The sequence below is a fragment of the Homo sapiens genome, chromosome 4 (genome assembly GCF_000001405.40).
Source record: "Homo sapiens chromosome 4, GRCh38.p14 Primary Assembly".
NCBI lineage: Eukaryota > Metazoa > Chordata > Mammalia > Primates > Hominidae > Homo > Homo sapiens.
The window spans coordinates 15,858,568-15,877,537 of record NC_000004.12 but is presented as its reverse complement, the minus strand read 5'-3'; the positions used below and the strand labels follow the sequence as shown (position 1 = coordinate 15,877,537).

At 38.8% G+C, this 18,970-nt stretch overlaps 1 pseudogene; it reads left to right on the top strand.

Moving 5' to 3' along the window:
- On the top strand, positions 12,341-12,800 carry HPRT1P1 (hypoxanthine phosphoribosyltransferase 1 pseudogene 1; annotated as a pseudogene).

The following is an 18,970-nucleotide window of genomic DNA, read 5'->3' as shown; positions in this document are numbered from 1 at the left end:
TGTGAGACCACAAGGGTGATCTGTTCTAGCTGGACCCTGCTCAGATTCCCAGCCCACAGAACCATGCACAACAAAATGGTTATTTTTCTAAGCCACTACATTTTGAGGTGATTTGTGATGCAGCAACAGATGGTGGAAACAGTTTCCAGCAGGGCTTTTAGTTTATTTGAGCACAGAAACGTGTAAGTAAAGAAGAACATTTAAATGTTCAAGCTACAAGTGTCTTATAAACCATGCAGCTCAAAAAGTTCATTTCACTCATGAGAAAATCAAGACTCAAATAAGTTATTTTACCCAAAGTCACAAAAAGAGTGAATTTCCTCTATGCTCTCCATTTTGTTAGCATATAGTTGTTCATAATAGTCTCTGATGACTTTTGTATTTCTGTCGTATTTGTTGTAATGCCTCTTGTTTCTTTTCTGATTTTGTTTCTATGGGCCTTCCCTCATCTTTTTTTGGTCTATCTAGTAGTTTATCAATTTTGCTTATCTTTTTAAAGAATCAACTTTTTCTTTTATTGACCCTTTGTATTTTTTGGTCTGTATTTCATTTAATTCTTCTCTGATGTTTATTATTTCTTTTCTTTCTGATAATTTGAGGTTTTGTTCATTTTTGCCTTTCCAGTTCCTTAGGATGCATCATTAGATTGTTTATTTGAAATCTTTCTACTTTATTTTCTGTTTTCTGATTAAATCTTGATGATATAACTGACATGGCAAATAACCCAAGAGGGTAAAGTGGAACTCTCAATGGAGATATTTAGATAGAATAGATTTAAGAGACCAAAGGGAATTGTGAGTCAGATGCCACAATCCTAAGAATATGCAAAAGATGAGGAAACAAAGAATTACTGTAAACTCTTTGCACCCCTTGAAGATTGAACTCTACAGCCTGCATGCTCCAGGCTTCAATGCACTCTGCCTTTTGGTTGGGTTCAGCCAATAGGAAGCATTAGCAGGAGCTAGGGGTGCAGTAGGAGAAAAGAGAGAGTGCTTATGTGAGTCCCTTGAAACACAATCATGGTGCCAGTATGGTGAGGTCAGGTGGGAGTTCTAATCTTAGCCACACACCAGCCAGAATAAGCCTTTTTATCATTTCATTTCCTTTCTTCCAGGCTGGGGTGGCTGCTTTCCTCACTTAGGGCCACTCGGCAGGTGGCTGATCTCCAATATCCAAAACTATCAACAGGTTCCAGGTACACTCATACCAGGGGGTGGTAACAGCTCCCCAGTGTTGCTACTTCTGTATGCTTCACCATCCCTGGCTGGTCTCATTAACCCTCCCACATATTTGGTAAATGACTCCTCTTTAAGTTCTCTTCAATTACCCTTCTGAGTGTGCCTCTGTTTTCTGTAGATACATGCCCTCATACAGACAGCATACAGGGGCAGAGAGCTGGGATTGAAGGGAGGACCTGTGAAGGGGATTTCCTTTGAGAGAGCTATACTGTGAGCCCCCACCTGACCTCAGCATACTGGCACCATGATTGTGTTTCAAGAGACTCATGAAAAAAGAAGGAAGGCATTCTCCCCACCTCACTTCAAGTCAAGAGGGGAGTTTTCACAAAGCCACTCAGAAAGCTCGACCTTTCCCTGGTGTGCAGGGGGATAAAATATCCCGTCTGATTACTTCATGAGAAATCTAAAAGTTGAAAGGTCAGTGGAACAGTTGCTGGCAGCTGAGGCTAGAGGAGAAGTGTCTGTGAGGGAACTTGCTGGTGTTCTGGTGTTCACTGGAGCAAAGGATGCCTGAGTGTGTCACATGAACCAAATACGGGTGAAATCAGAGCAAATCAGCATAAGACTTCCCAGGTCCCATCCAAAAAGGTCTTTAGGGAAGCCAAAGGCAACGTTGTAGAACATTTGAAGCTCCAATTTCCCAGGAGTTAAGAAGGGTAAGCAGAGCTGGGCATGGTGGCTCACATCTGTAATCGCAGCACTTTGGGAGGCCGAGGTAGGCGGATCGCTTGAGCTCAGGAGTTTGGGGCCAGCCTGGGCAACATAGTGAAACTTGTTCTCTACAAAAAGTACAAAAATTAGCCAGGCATAGTGGTGCACACCTGTAGTCTCAGCTACTTGGGAGGCTGAGGCATGAGAATCGCTTGGACCCAGGAGGCAGAGGTTCCAGTGAGCTGAGATCACACCACTGTACTCCAGCCTGGGCAACAAAGCAAGACTCCATCTCAAAAAAAAAAAAAAAAAAATGTCATGGGCCTTGCCTGAATTCTCATCCAGGGGCAAGAAAACAACAGCCCTGTGCACACAAGTGAAGGGGCAGTGACAAGCCAGCATCAAGTTGCTTTGCAACCACTTCCCACAGGCTACGCTTATTCAAAATAGCTGTTACAGCAACGCATATTCCTTTCTTTCTGTTAAAAATAGAGATGGAGTCTTGCTATGTTGCCCAGGCTGGTCTTGAACTCCTGGGTTCAAGGGATCCTTCTCCTGTGGCCTCCCAAAGTGCTAGGATTACCTGCAGGAGCCACTGTGCCCAGCCAGCTATGAATATTTTTCAAGCATTAACTGGCAAAACTAAGTAACAGGATCAAATCCATTCCTTAAATTGGGGCAACAGATCACCGTGTTTCTCAGGGTAAGAAGGATAGAGGAAAGTGCACAGCACCAGCCAGCCAACACAGAAAGCCAGGGAAACGGGACTCTGCAGGAGCATAGAGCCCCACCCGGTTCTAGTCTCCAGGGATTGGGAATTCAGGAGGATGAACATTGCGTGTGCCTGGAGAAGATAATGAATTAGGTTTGAAACAAACACACTGAGTTTGTAGAGGTTGCTCTTTGTACTGAGAAACTATAAGGCCTTGGGTATGTTTTTTATTCTCTTTGGGCCTCAGTTCCCAAATTCATAAAACATGTTGTTTAAATCAGATGATATTTAATGTTTATTGGCCTAAAAATATCTGAATAACATGTACCTAACCAGAAAAAGAAAAAAGCACTAAAGTATCCCGTTAATTTAGAAGATTGCATTAATCCATGTTAATCCATGTTAGCCTGGCCTTTTTTCTACCTCAGACCATTAAGATTATGTAAAATGAATGTATTAACCTATTCTCACACTGCTATAAAGAAATACCTGAGACTGGGTAACTTATAAAGAAAAGAGGTTTAATTGGCTCGTGGTTCCACGGGCTGTACAGGAAACCTTATAACTTCTGCTTCTGGGGAGACCTCAGGAAGCTTCCAAACATGGCGGAAGGCAAAGGAGGAGTGGCACATCACATGGCAGGAGCAGGAGGAAGAGAGAGGGGAGGTGCTACACACTTTTTAACAACCAGATTTCACGAGAACTCACTCGTGATGACAGCACCAAGGAAGGATGGTGTTAAACCATGAGAAACCGCCCCCATGACCCAATCACCTCCCACCAGTCCCACCACTCCTCCACCAGCATTGAGGATTACTTCAACATGAAATTTAGGTGGGGACACAGATCCAAACCATATCAATGAATAACAACTTTTAAAATGTTCTGCGTAACTTCCATTGCAGGGTAGAGTGGTTTGTTGGTGTAAAAGGTGTTCCCGGAACATAAACAAAACTAATTAAAATATTGACAAGAAAAAGAGCCCTGGAGGTAGAGGAGGAGACTGCCTCTGTTCCTTTTATTCTCTCCTGTATTTGAGTGAAGTGGCTGCCTGGGCCTTGGACGTCTGCAACGATTAACAAAATGAAAGCACAATTCTCTCTGAGTTAAAAAAGAGATAAGATTTGAAAACTTGGATGTCCTTAAACAAAATAGTAAGAAGGTTATTTCCCTCCTGCTGTATTATCTTGTATTATTTTGCTTTGCTCTATTCCTTTTAGAAAGCTAATTCCATTCTTTTTTTTTTTTTTTTTTTTTTTTGACATGGTCTGGCTCTATTGTCCAATCTGGAGTGCAGTGGTGCCATCTTGGCTCAGCATAACCTGTGCCTCCTGGGTTCAAACCATCCTCTCACCTCAGCTTTCTGAGTAGCTGGTACTACAAGTATAAACCACCACACCCGGCTAATTTTTGTATTTTGTAGAGACGGGGTTTCGCCATGTTGCCCAGAGTGGTCTTGAACTCCTGAGCTTAAGTGATCTGCCCTTCTCGACTTCCCAGAGTGCTGGGATTACAGGCGTGGGCCATCATACCCAGCCCCATTCTAATTCTTGATTCCTTTTACGTGATATAACTGAAAAAATATTTTTTTTCTTTGGTCAAATTGTTCCCTGAACTCTAAAATTTCACAATGCCGTGCCCTGGCAAAATTCTATTTTCATCTCTGTTTTGGATACTTGGTGGCCTCTTCCTATTTTGAAATTCAGTCCTTCAGTTCAGAAAAATGCTCTGGATATTTTTAGCAGTGACTTCTTCCCTCACTATTTCTCTCTGTTCTTTCTTTCTGGAATTCTTATTATAGGATGCTGACCTTTTGGTCCGGTTCTCTCATTTTCTTCTCTGTCTTATTTTCCATCCCTTTTTCTTTCTTTCTTTTTTTTTTTTTTTTTTTTTTTTTTGAGACGGAGTTTCGCTCTGTCGCCCAGGCTGGAGTGCAGTGGCGCGATCTCGACTCACTGCAAGCTCCGCCTCCCGGGTTCACGCCATTCTCCTGCCTCAGCCTCCCTTGTAGCTGGGACTACAGGCGCGCGCCACCATGCCCGGCTAATTTTTGTATTTTTAGTAGAGACGGGGTTTCACCGTGTTAGCCAGGATGGTCTCGATCTCCTGACCTCGTGATCCGCCCGTCTCGGCCTCCCAAAGTGCTGGGATTACAGGCGTGAGCCACCGCGCCCGGCCCCCTTTTTCTTTCTATCCAAGTTTTTGGTAGCTCTCTTCAACATTATCTTCCAATCCTTTGACTACAATTTTCATTTGTTCTATAATATTTTTAAGTTCCAAAAACTGTTTTTTTCTCTAAATACTCCTCTTTTCTTTCTAAAAAATAGCATCTGTTATTTTTTGATTCTCATATCTCTGCCTATATTTATTACAGCTTGTTTTTAAAGTTTTCTTCTTCCATTTTAAATTTTCCTCCAGATTTCTTCCCTGTCATTTGAGTATCTAGTTTCTATACCAGAGTATTTTTTTTTTTAGATGTCTGGTGATCCTTAGTTACCTTTTTATCCATCAGAATAATTAGATCATGTTGCAGTCGCAAAGAGGGTAGAAATTTCAGTAGTGTAAAATAACCATGTTCATTTTTTGGTCATGGTATGTGTCCTTCATGAATTGGCCAGAGAATTGGTCTCATCACCTTCACTCTTCAAGCCCCAAGCTCCTGTCTATTTCATACTGTCTCATGTATGTTTGCTCAAAGAGGCAGGGAAAAGAGAGCATGCCCTGGCTTTTAAAGCTTCTTTCCAGAAGTGACACACAAGACTTCCCTTCACACCTAAATTAGCCACATCAGGTCACATGGCTGTGTCTGAGTCCATATGGTGGGGATTATACTCCTTTCTCAGGGAGGGACACAGAGTATTCGTGAATAATACCATAGTCTGCCACAACTGCTCATATTATACAATGAGGCATTGAAACACCAATTGGAAGTTGGCACAAAGGGCAAAAATGAGGGGGCTTATTGAATGTGGGCTTCATTATATGGTGATCTGACTGGACTATTTCATCAAGGGAACCTCTGATGTCTTGGGCTGGTTCAATTCACTAGAGACAATTCTTCAAATCTCTCCTGAAGATTTCAATATTCTGAAATCCATGCTTCAATATCCTGGAGACTGAGTGAAGAAAGAAGGCTGGGAGCAATGTCTCAGCATTCAGAATGTAAATTTTACTTGATTCTTTGTTTTGTTTTGGTCTTGCACCTTATTCTCTCATCTGACTGTTGCCCTGGTCGACAGATTCTTTCTACATTATCCTCAGAAGAAAATAAACCTCAACAATCTCTGGGGATGAAGAATCAGTGGGAACATCAATAGATTCTTAATCAGGCCTTTAAGGAGTCCTCTGGTCTAACACACCACTCTCCTTTTCCTTCCAGAGGTATTTGTTTTCATCAACTCCTTTTGAAGGATTGCAGTGTGCTAGTTTGCTAGGGCTGTCATATCAAAGTACCACAGACTGGGTGGCTAAAACAACAGAAACTTTGCTTACAATTCTGGAGGCCGGATGTCCAAGATCAAGATGTCCATAGGGTTGGCTTCATTCTGAGGCTTCTCTCCTTAGCTTGTAGACGGCGCCTTCTCCCTGTGTCTTCACGTGGTCTTTCCTCTGTTGGAGTCTGTCCTAATCTCCTCTTCTTCTAAGCACACCAGTAAAATTGAAATAGGGTCCACCTTAATGACCTCATTTTAATTTAATTACCTCTTTATAGTCACATTCTGAGGTACTGGGGTTAGGACATCAGGGTATAAATTTTGGGAAAATGCAACTCATCTCACAACAAGTAACATAAAACCAGGCTATTTTGGTCTTCTCAGTGCTAGCCTTAATTTAGCTTTCTAGATTTAAGTCCACTCAACCAGCACCTTCCACTTGCCAAAATGTAGCTCCATTAACTAACTCTTCTCATAAAGTCTTTATCCTGAAAGGTTTATATCTTTCTACATATGTCTTGATTATTCTTTTTTGTGTTGTTTTGGAAGTCAGCAAAAGTAGGTGAAAAAAATATTTTGCAGTAAGCAGCTAATTTATACAGAAGAAAAATGATTACTTATTTGTTTTGCTTTATTCTAATCAGCAAAAGTTAGAGTGCTGACTGCTGAAATAAAGAAGAAAAGAAAAGGAAAGAAGGAAGGAAGGAGAAAGAGAAAGAAAAGAAAGAGATAGAAAGAAAGGACTAACCTAATATTTTTTCCAAATTATTGGGAACTCTTCCTAAAGCTAATTTTTACTACTGTATAAGTGAACCTTCTAACAGAAGGCTATCATGTTCTATCGACATGACTTCCTCATCTGGGGTAAATACCCGGGGCTTCTTGTCTTGTGCCAATAAAATTTAGGACATGGAAACATACAAGGAGTTTAGGAGTGGAGGTTTAATAGGCAGAAGAAAGAGAAAGAACAGCTGAGAGGGGCTTCCTAAAGGAAAAGACCAGCCAGCAGCGGATGCGCCGGATTTTACAGGCAGGCTTGAGGAGGCAGTGTCTGATTTACCTATAGCCCACAGACTGCAGGTGTGATGTTTACATAGCATGCGGGGAAGGATGGCCATCCAATCCTAATCTTATTATGCAAATGAGCTTTCCACTCGACTAGCGCCATCTTGTCTGCTTCTTACTATACACGTGGCTGACAAACAGAAGGGAAGATGGAACCGCCATTTTGGACATGATTGGCACAAGTACTGGCATCCATGTCTGCAGCTCGATTTTACAGACTGCTCTTTATTAGAAAGGAAAGTTATTTGGGGCTGCTTTTCATTAAAAGGAAAACCTTGCCAAGGACTTCTGTACCCTCAATATCTGCGTAAGTAATTTCTCTTTAACTCCTATATCACCATTAATCTATTTGACCTATGGTAGTATTTCTAAGTTTTCAAAAAAAAGAAAAAAACACTACAGTAAGCATCTAGTCAAGAGTATATTTCTTGATAAATACCTTAATTCATCAAATCTGAAATATTATCTATTGTAAGACACAGAAAAAGGGTGGAAGATTGTTTCTGATGAGGAGGGAAGCTGGGTTTGTGACGTAAAGAGATTGATTTTTTTCGAAGTTTTTAAAAAACAATTTAATTCTGTGTACATCTATTAAATCTGATAAAAATAAAAACTGAGGGGAAAAAATGAAGCCCGAAAATTATGTATATGATATGTACTCAATTATTTAAGACTAATAAAATTCGTAGAAAAACTACTAAGGATCAACAAGCGTAAGTTTACAGGTGAGTTTTATTTTCATTATTATGTATTTCTAGATTTTTCACAATATTTTGTGGTAAGCAGCTAGTTTATACAAAAGAAAAAAGTTTACTTGTTTTGTTTGTTTTGCTTTATTCTAAAAAGAAAAATGATCAGAAAGAAACATAAACAATGGCACTTGGGTGGTGAAAGTATGGATGCTATTTCTTTTTTGGGCTTCTCTGAAGTTCCCCAACGTCTTCTAACGAGAATGTTTTAAGGGCTTTAGGTTGAGAAATAGACAAAGAAGTAAAGCAGATGGAGAATACAATATCACCTTTAAAATTAGTAAACACTTGGTTGGAGGACTTGCTTAAAAGCCAGATTTCTGTGTTGGCTAGTTAATTAATCAAATTAACTGGAAACCTACCAAATACACACTCTGCTTTGCGCTGTGAGAACCATCCAAATGTGCACTTGGACTCAGTTGCTGAGGTATGACACAGCCTTTGGGATCTTTTATCATCCTAAACATCCAGAGAATCACCAAGAAAATGTCAATTATTCCCATTAGTGTTATCAAAGGGTGGTTATTTTTCTGTTGCTAAGTGACAACTCACAATATTTAGCATGGGGACAACCAGGAATGGAAAATGGAAACTCTTGCTAAAGTGATTGATTAGTAAGTTTCATAAATATTTGTTAAAGTGCTACAGTGAGAACAAAATTAAGAAACAAAAATGTAAATGTGGGTAGGGGAAGCCTAGGTAGTTTCCAGGGCACACTCCAAGGGGAACTAGAATTTTCCCCGGGCGTCTAGAAATCATGTCTTTCTTGTCAGTCTGGTATTGTCTAATTGGCGAATGTATGCATCTTATCATTTGAAGATGAGCACTTTGATCTCATTTAAAAAAGACAACAAAGAGAAGGAGCCTCTGCTTGGAGCAAGGCCAAAGGAGAGGACTTTCAACCTAGAGCAGGCCTCTACCTTCTCAGTCATTCACTTCATGGTTACCAAACTGTTACAGGAAAGAGGTCCTGATCCAGACTCCAAGAGAGGGTCCTTGGATCTCGCACAAGAAAGAACTCAGGGCGAGTCTACAGTGCAAAGCAAAAGCAAATTTATTAAGAAAATAAAGTGGTGAAAGAACAGCTACTCCATAGACAGAGTAGGGTGTTCCCAAAAGTAAGAGGAGGATCCACAAGATTAGTATTATAAGAGGGACATGGATCCTCCTAAAATGTAGATGTAGCTAAATGATAACCAGACATTGTTCCCTGTCTTACCTTTTTTAATCTCTTGCTGCTCTGGAGTCATAAAGCCAGAGGGCACAAGATTTATGACTTCCCCAATTGCTTCTATAGATAACATCACTATTGTAGAACTTAAGATTGGTCTTTTGAGGTGTTTGTCAGACTTTTTCATTCTGGGCACCAACGGACTCCATCCAGACCCAGGATTCATGACTCAACCGGTCCTATGGCCCCACCCAGAGGCAGACTCAGTGCTTAAGAACTGTTTTCAACATTTTTTTTTTTTTTGAGAGTCTCGCTCTGTCACCAGGCTGGAGTACAGTGGTGTAGTCTCAGCACACTGCATCCTCACTGCACCAACCCTCCATGTATGTATGTATATTTTTATATATTATATCTTATATATATATTATATATAAATATAATATAATATATATTATATATAAATATAATATATATTATATATAAATATAATATAATATATATTATATATAAATATAATATAATATATATTATATATAAATATAATATATATTATATATAAATATAATATATATTATATATAAATATAATATAATATATATTATATATAAATATAATATATATTATATATAAATATAATATAATATATATTATATAAATATAATATAATATATATTATATAAATATAATATATATTATATATAAATATAATATAATATATATTATATATAAATATAATATAATATATATTATATATAAATATAATATAATATATATTATATTATGTTATATATGTATTATATAATATATAAATACAATATAAATATATTATATTATTATATTTATTAAATATATAAATCCAAGCCTCTTGTCACTGGAAAAATATGCCCTGTATGACCAGGAACCTTGGATAATATAGAAACAAAACTAGAGACCACCATAACATTTCTTTACATCTTATGTAGTGTTTTTCTAATTTCTCCTAATAATAATGACTATTTATTGCATCCTTCCCCCATGTCAGATATTGCATTAATTGCAATAAGTATACCAGGCCATTTAATATCCACAACATCTCTATGAAGTAAATGTCATTATTAATTCCATTTTACATGTGAGCTCTCGGAGGTGTAGACACAATGTAACTTCTGTGTGGTTCTTGATCATAAACACAAGAGCTGGGATTTGAAGCTAGGTCTACAGTCCTCACCATGTTTTCTCAGCACCCCGGACTGTGGGAAGCAGTAGGATATCAGAATTTAGAATAACATATTTCCTCTACTGTAAGTGACCTTTCATTGCCAGATGTGTCATCAATAAAAGTTTTTCAGAAGAAAAAAAAACAGAAAATAATCACATCAATTTTAAGACACTCCCAGTTTTTGAAATGGGATCATATAAAATGAATGGGCTTCTTGGATTTGAAGAAATCAGATAAGAGCTTGCCTTTGTGTGGCATTCATAACTTTCCAGAATGCTCTTATATCCAAACCCCATTCACTTGGCTCACTTGCTCAGCAATACTTGCTGCCTCCTGCTGCCTGGCTTTTGCTGAAAAATAATCATTAGTCTTCAGCAAAGAAATGAAATTTTAAAACACCATGCAGAAAAACTGACCAATTGCCCTTCCATATCAATCTGTAATATTTGCAGGACATCTAGTAACGAGCTTCCAGGTTATATGTCTTTCATGAGCCCAGGTCAGTGCTTTAATAACACAGAAAATGGAAAAGCCTAGATCCCTTTTTCAAGTTGAAACTTGGCCTTTGCTTCTCCTGATTTTCAAGGAAATCAGGTGACACCCATGTTATAACTCAAAAACATGGTTTTCTGCAAATGAAATTAAACATTAATGATTTGTCTTATAAATCTCCCTGATATGACATTGAATACTTCGAAAACTCAAAGATATACTACAGCCTTGAAACCAAACACAAGATACATTTACCAGCATAATCAGATGTCAGGGCTCAGCTTGGGTCATAGCTTAATCTACCAAGGCTCAGAATTTTCTTTTGTTAATTAAGGAAAATGCGTCCTTGAGTTAGCAAATATCTGAGGGGTGGAGGATCCCATTTCACTGAGTAGCAGACCATTACAGTCACTGGGAGGGATTATTGCCTTGATACTAGAAGCCAATAATAAATGTAAATTTAACCATGAGTTCTTGAGCTCCTCCTGAGTCCCAGGCACCATTTTCACCTGAGATCTCCACCATAGGCCTGGGACAGAGGTGCCACTTTTTCTATTTTATGCATGAGGAAACAAACTCTGAGAAACGAAGTGATGTGCTCAAAATCCCACAACTAGGTTATGGCTCTGACTCCAAGTAAGGATGACAAGTCATCTCACTTGCCTGAAACCGTGAGGGTTTCCCAGATGTGAGACTTTCAGTGCTAAAACTGGGACAGTTCTGGGGGCTCAAACTGGGACAAGTAGGCCATTGTCTATTCAAGGCCAGTGCTCCTTCCACCAGACAACTCTAGTCAAGGGGTTACATGGGCTGCTGTGAGATGGTCTGGTCATCCAACCAGTGTTTAAAACATGGGAATTTCAAACACCTAGTTTAAGGTACCCTTTCATGCTCCTCCTTTTAGCCAGTTTTATCATGGTGGCCCACAGCTCCACATCATGGTTATGACCTAGATTGGTTTTCTTTTTTTTTTTTTAAGACAGGTGTCACTCTATTGACCAGGCTGGAGTGTAGTGGCACGATCTCGGCTCATTGCAACCTCTGCCTCCTGGGTTCAAGCAATTCTCCTGCCTCAACCTCCTGAGTAGCTGGGATTACAGGTGCCCACCACCACACCTGGCTAATTTTTGTATTTTTAGTAGAGACAGGGTTTCACCATGTTGGCCAGGATGGTTTTGAACTCCTGACCTTGGGTGATCCTCCCACCTCAGCCTCCCAAGTGCTAGGATTACAGGCATGAGCCACCACACCCAGCTGGTTTTCTATATCTAATCATTATTTTGAGGATTTAGAAAAGATATTTATTCCTCATGGATTAATCACAGATGGGACAAAATGGCTTGTTCTTGAAATTCTGTGGAGGTAGGAGGCAATCAGATTGCAGCCCTCTGCACATGCCAAGAGACCATAAATTCTTTGCTGATTTGCTGAATAGCAAAGCACTTAGCAGAAATAAGGACATATCCATTCTATGACTGCAGATTTTATCAGATCAAACAGTTACTGTAATGGCCAGTCAATTCGGGCAGAAAAGTAATTTAGGAAGATGATTTTACAACTTTAACTGGAAAGAATATCTTTTTTAAAAAATTACTTTATTTTCACTATCCTCAATCTCGATGGGAATGAGAAGAATGTCTTGATTGAAAAAGATACAATTTACCCTGACAAAACAATGCAAACCTGGCCTTCCTTGACCAAGCAGTATAATCCAAAGATGATCAACATTGCCAGATGGATATGCACCAGAACTTTTGGGTACAGACCAGACAGAGATGGATGTGAAATTCCAGACCAATTTGTTGTAGGATATGTCCTTGACTATAATTAATACTTTAAGGATTTGAATCATGTTTGTGTCATTAGTAAAATTGGAAAAGCAAAATACAAAGGCAAAAATGAGGGTCAAGTAGAGTAGCAGAGTTTGGGAACATCTGGAGTCTCATTGACATTGCCAGTAAAAGTGTCAAATGTTGCATTTCTGTGGTCATCTGCATAGTAGAGCTTTTTGCATGGATCTTTGGGAATTTTATCTGTTGCATATTTTAGATATAACAGTTGCTGCCATCCTAAACTCATTGTTAGCACTAAGAACCAATAGATCATCAGTTCCCTTTGGATAGGTTGTTGTTCCACTTGTGAATAAAAAACCTCTCAGAAAAAAACAAAACAAATAAAAATCTCTTTAAGAAACATTGAAAGAGAAGATATATTCATTTATTATTTGGTATATTAATATTTATTTAGTCATGAATTTATGAAAAGAACAGAATTAAATACAGTTAATTATTACACCACTTTAAAAACCAAAAAACAGTCAGTTTTCTTATCCTACAGCATATAAGACGTTTTATTCTATTGTATAAACCACGTTTCCTGGAATCATCTTAGTAGTGTTTCAATAGTATTAACTGAATTTTCCCATTTCTTGAGATTATTTCTGATGAGTCAGTCACTTTCTATGGTTTCTTTAAATATAAATTAGTGTGTTTTAAAAACTTTTACACATTTGGAATTCTTCAATAAAAAATCCTTAAAGACTGCCTGTTTTTTTTTCTTTTTTTTTTTTTTTTTTGGAGTTTCGCTTTTGTTGCCCAGGCTGGATCTCAGTGGTGCGATCTCGGCTCACTGCAACCTCCGCCTCCTGGGTTCAAGCGATTCTCCTGCCCCAGCCTCCCAAGTAGCTGGGATTACAGGCATGCACCACCACACCCAGCTAATTTTGTATTTTTAGTAGAGACGGGGTTTCTCCATATTGGTCAGGCTGGTCTCGAACTCCTGACCTCAGGTGATCCACCCACCTTGGCCTCCCAAAGTGCTGGGATTACAGGCGTGAGCCACCGCGCCCGGCCGGCTCTGAAGTTTCATATTCCCTTTGAAGTTTCTGATTCAAAACGTACACGCACACTCCCAATTTGGTGATAGTTCCTGAACAGAATGTCTTACTTGAGTTAAGAGGAAAATCCCATTTTCAAACACTCTATTATTTATGCAGCTTTCCATTTCATTCTACCAACTTTTTTTTCTTTCATACGTAATTTATTCAGGTAAAATATCTTCCCTTCAGGTATTTTTTTAAACTATGTACTGATCTTTCTATTCAATTAGGAGACTAGACTGTATTTTAAACCAAAAAGACCACAAATATTTCCATCCCAAAGCATTTTAAAGAGTGTATGTCTTAATTTACAGAAATAACAATTTTATCTATCTTCTTCAGATAATTTTTAAACACATGGGAGAAGCCTTAGGAGGGATGTCCTGGAGAATACACCTAGCCTTTCAAACACAATAATTGTGGACCCAAACAGTGAAATCCCAGGAACTTTAGAGCTGAGAGACTTTCTTCTGAGGAAGCCACATGGTCTTCATATGAGCAAGTGTGTGTAGATGGATAATGATGATAATGATGATGGTAATGGACGTTGGTTATACACTTACTGTGTGCCAAGGACTAAATGGTAAACGTGTCTCAGCAAAGTAGCTGTCTCTCCAGCACTCATTCTTACCTTCATCTAAAGGAATAGCATTTTTAGGTGGTTCATGGCTGGACAGAATAAAACTTTCATTTTCTTACCTCTTCTCTGACTGATAAAGTCACATGACTAATTTCTAGTCAATGAGGTATTACTACAGGTGTCCTATGGCTGCTTTCTGGAAACTTCCTTAAAAGACAGTGCAAAGTTAGTTACTCTTCAGTTCTTTGTCATGCTTTTCCTCCCTTCCATTACTTGGAGCATTGGTTAGATGACTGGAGAGCCATCTTGGACCACGAAAATTAAAGGATGATTTTTAGTGATAAGGAAGGCAGCCAGGACTCTGAGGATCCTACAGAGCAGAGCTGTCCTACAGGCCCCAGACAATTGGCCTTTGGGCTTTTACATGAAAGAGATGTAAACATCTATCAGATTTAACTAACTGTGATTGCAGATTTCCTGCCCCTTGGAGATAAGCCTAGGTTTTACTAATTCTTATTCAGCCCTCACAGCAACCCAGCAAAGGAAGTTACTGCTGTAATTCCCATTTTACAGATGAGAAAAGTGAAGCACAAAAAAGCTTACAGCCAAAGGGAGAAAGAGCTGGAATCCTCACAGTCTAGTCCAGAACAGGAGCTCCATGAAGGCCCTGTTCTCATTCTTACTCGTTGTGTCTCAAATTGGAACTCCACAAGGCAGTACAAGCTTTAGAAAGTAATAATACTGATAGCAGCTAATTACTGAATCCTTATGGCAAGCTAGGCACTTACTATTTTATGCTTAGGAAAGCTGAGGACTGGAGATGTTAAGCACACTGGCCTAGGTCACACAACTCACAAGAGTCGCAATAGAATTCAAGGTCAGTAATTCAGCCCAGAGCCTCATTCAACCACTAAATTTTACTGCCAGACAAGAGTGTGCCAGCCAGAAAGCAGTGTGTGCTGAGGGTGGTGGAAGAGCAGGCATGGAGGAAGCTGCGGCTGAGGGCAAGAGGGAAAGATGGTTTGAGAGTGGAAGGATGAGCAGGGCTACACCTTTCCCTGAGTAGTCACCACTGATCCTATTCATTACCTTTCTACTCACTGCTCAAGGATAAAAACAGGGAATTTCTTACTGGAAAATGCTCCCTGGGTGAGACATGTTCTTTCATCAGGTTCCCTCATCTGCAGTGGAGTCTGTTTGTCCACCCTGTTCTGGTCACCTGCACGTGAAAGCACACAGCCACTGTGGGGATTTGCAATACTAACCTTCCTCAGTCGAGGGGAACCACAAGCAGCCTTGCACCTCTGGAGTCTTTCTATGTAGATTTAGCACATTCTGGAATCCTTTAATTCATTAAACTTCTAAATTCCTCAACCACCCCCAACTCTCAGAGTATTCCAGAAGGGATGTCATTAACCTCCCTGTTGCCAATTTCAAGAGCTACCTTTCTGCCCAAGGTTTTCTTTATAATTTCTGACATTTCAATCATCTATGAACCTTTCCCCTCCCCTCACTTTTCATAAGTGGCTTTCCTTCTACCCCTCTGGCTGTTACCTTTCAGATTCTTACTCACACATTTTCCTTGGACTCCCACTGCCTGGGAGGGTTGTGGAAAGAGCTTCTTCACAGCCTCTCTGTGTCCAGTGAAGCTACTTTCCCATTAATTCTGTATAGAATCACCAGGGTACTGTTTCTATAATGCAGATCTGATCACGTCTCTTCCATGTTTAAAATCTTCCCAAGTGTTGTTGATTGTAAAAACAGTTTCCACAAATTCCATGTTGTATTAGTCTGTTCTCACGCTGCTGAGAAAGACTTACCCGAGACTGGGAGATTTATAAAGGAAAGAGGTTTAATTGACTCACAGTTCCGCATAGCTGTGGAGGCTTAAGGAAACTTACAATCATGGCAGAAGGAGAAGCAAACACATCCTTCTTCACAGGGCATCAAAAAGGAGAAGTGCCGAGCAAAGAGGGAAAAGCCCCTTATAAAACCATCAGATCTTGTGAGAACTCACTTTCATGAGAAGAGCATAAGGGTAACCACCCCCATGATTCAATTACCTTCCATCAGGTTCCTCCTACCACATGTGGGGATTATGGGAACTACAATTCAAGATGAGTTTTGGGTGGGGACACAGCAAACCATATCACATCTGTTCTTATGTATACACATTCCTTTGCAATGTTAATTGGTAGTTTCCCAATCACAAGGTAAAGTTTATTTCTCTACCTCTTGAATATGAGGTTGGCCATGTGACTTGTGACTTGTTGGACTTGCATTGTTTATAATGGCTTGTTTTTCTTTTTAATAAATTTATTTTTTCGAGTAGTTTTAGATTCACAAAAAACTGAGTAGAAAGTACAGTCTTCATATAATCCCTGCACCCACACGTGCACAGCCATCCCAACCATGGTTTTTATAAAAAATGAAAATAAAATACTTGTACCAAATTAGGGGATGAATAAATTATGGTACAACAATATTCTTTGCCAATGAAAAATAACAACGCAGAGCTCTATTTATTGACTTAGAAAGATATTCACAACATATTAGTTTGAAAAAAGCTAGTCACTGTAGGGTGAGATAGCATTTCTCTAAACATATGATCTCATTTCTCTAAACATATACCTATTTCATTAGATCTAAGATGTCATCAAGTATAAGATAGACTATTAATTATTCATTACTAAGAAAAAGGATGCTTCCACTTAAACTGTCATATGTTGTTTTGTAAATACATTGATTCTAAGATACAGCCTGATGTCAGAAATTCTAAAATCTTTTTAAAAATGTTTCTTAGCTTGTGCATATGTGGTTGATATAAAAATGTAATTTTTAAATTTATTGATACATAATATTTGTACACATTTATGAGATACATGTGATATTTTGTTATGTGCATTGAATGTATAATTATCAAGTCAGAGTTCTTAGGGTATCCATTGCCTCGAGTATTTATCATTTATATGTGTTGGGAACATTTCAAGTTCTCTCTTCTAGTTATTTTGAAAGATACAATACGTTGTTGTTACTTATAGCTACCCTACTCTGTTATGAAATATTAGAACTGATTCCTTCTATGTAACTGTATGTTTGTACCCATTCAGCAACCTCTCTTCATCCCCTCCACCACACACACACACACACACACACACACACACACACACACACACACCCTTAGCCTTTGGTCTCATTCTACTCTCCACCTCCATGACATCAACTTTTTAAGCTCCCATATATGAGGGAGAATATACAATATTTGTCTTTCTATGTCTGGCTTATCTCACTTAGCATGATGACCTCCAGTTTCATTCATGTTCTGAAAGTGACATGATTTCTTTCTTTTCCATGACCAAATAGTACTCCATTGTGTATATACACCACATTTTCTTCATCCATTTATTAATGGATAATTTGTTAATTCATATCTTTGCTATTGTGAACAGCACTACAATAAACATAGGGGTGCAAGTGTCTTTTGATATACTGATTTATTTTCCTTTGGATAAATATGCAGTTGTGGGATTGCCGGGTCATATGATAGTTCCATTTTTAGCTTTTTGAAAACTCTCCATACTGTTTTCTATAGTGACTGTACTAATTTACATTCCCACCAACAGTGTATAAGAGTTTCCTCTTCTCCACATCCTCATCAGCATCTGTTAATGTTTGTCTTTTTAATAATACCCATTCTGAGGTAAGATAATACCTCATTGTGGTTTTGATTTGCATTTTGATAATTAGTGATGAACATGTTTTCAAATACCTGTTGGCCATTTGTATGTATTTTTTTGAGAAATGTCTCTTCCTGTCCTTTACCCACTTTTAAATGGGATTAATTGTGGGTTGGTTTGTTTGTTTACTGTTGAGTTGTGAGTGCCTCGTATATTCTGAATATTAGTCCCTTGTCAGATGAATAGTTCACAAGTATTTTCTCCCATTTGACAGGTTGTCTCTTTACTCTGTTGATTATTTTCTGTGCTGAAGCTTTGTATTCTAATATAGTCCCGTTTGTCCATTTTTGCTTTTGTTGCCTATGCTTTTGAGGTCTTAGCCATAAAATCTTTGCCTAGATCAATGTCTTGAAGTGTTTTCCCTATGTTTTCTTCAAGTAGTTTTATAGCTTAGGGTTTTGTGTTTAAGTATTAATGCATCTTGAGTGGATTTTTTGTATATGATGAGAGATGGAAGTACAGTTTTATTTTTCTGCATATGAATGTCCAATTTTCCCAGCACCATTTATGGAAGAGGGTGTCCTTTCTCCAATGTATGTTCTTGGAGCTTTTGGTGAAAATCAGTTGGCTATAAATATGTGTATTACTTTCTGGGTTATCTATTCTGTTCTATTGGTCTATGTGTTGGTTTTTTGTTTCTGTTTTTGTTTTTGAGAGAGAGTCTTGCTCTGTCACCAGGCTGGAGTGCAGTGGTGCCGTCTCGGCTCACTGCAACCTCTGCCTCTCAGGTTTGAGTGATTCTCCTGCCTCAGCCTCCCAAGTAGCTGGGACTACAGGCCTGCACTGCCACACCCAGCTAATTTTTGTATGTTTAGTAGAGATGGGGTTTCACCATGTTGGCAAGGATGGTCTTGATATCTTCACCTCATGATCCACCTACCTCGGCCTCCCAAAGTGATGGGATTACAGGCGTGAGCCATACCACCATGTTGTTTTGGTTACTATAAGCCTTGTAATATATTTTGAAGTGAAGTAGTGTGATGCCTCCAGCTTTGTTCTTTTTGCTCAGGATTGCTTTGGCTATTTAGTTCTCTTTTTTTGTTCCATATGAATTTTAGGATTGTT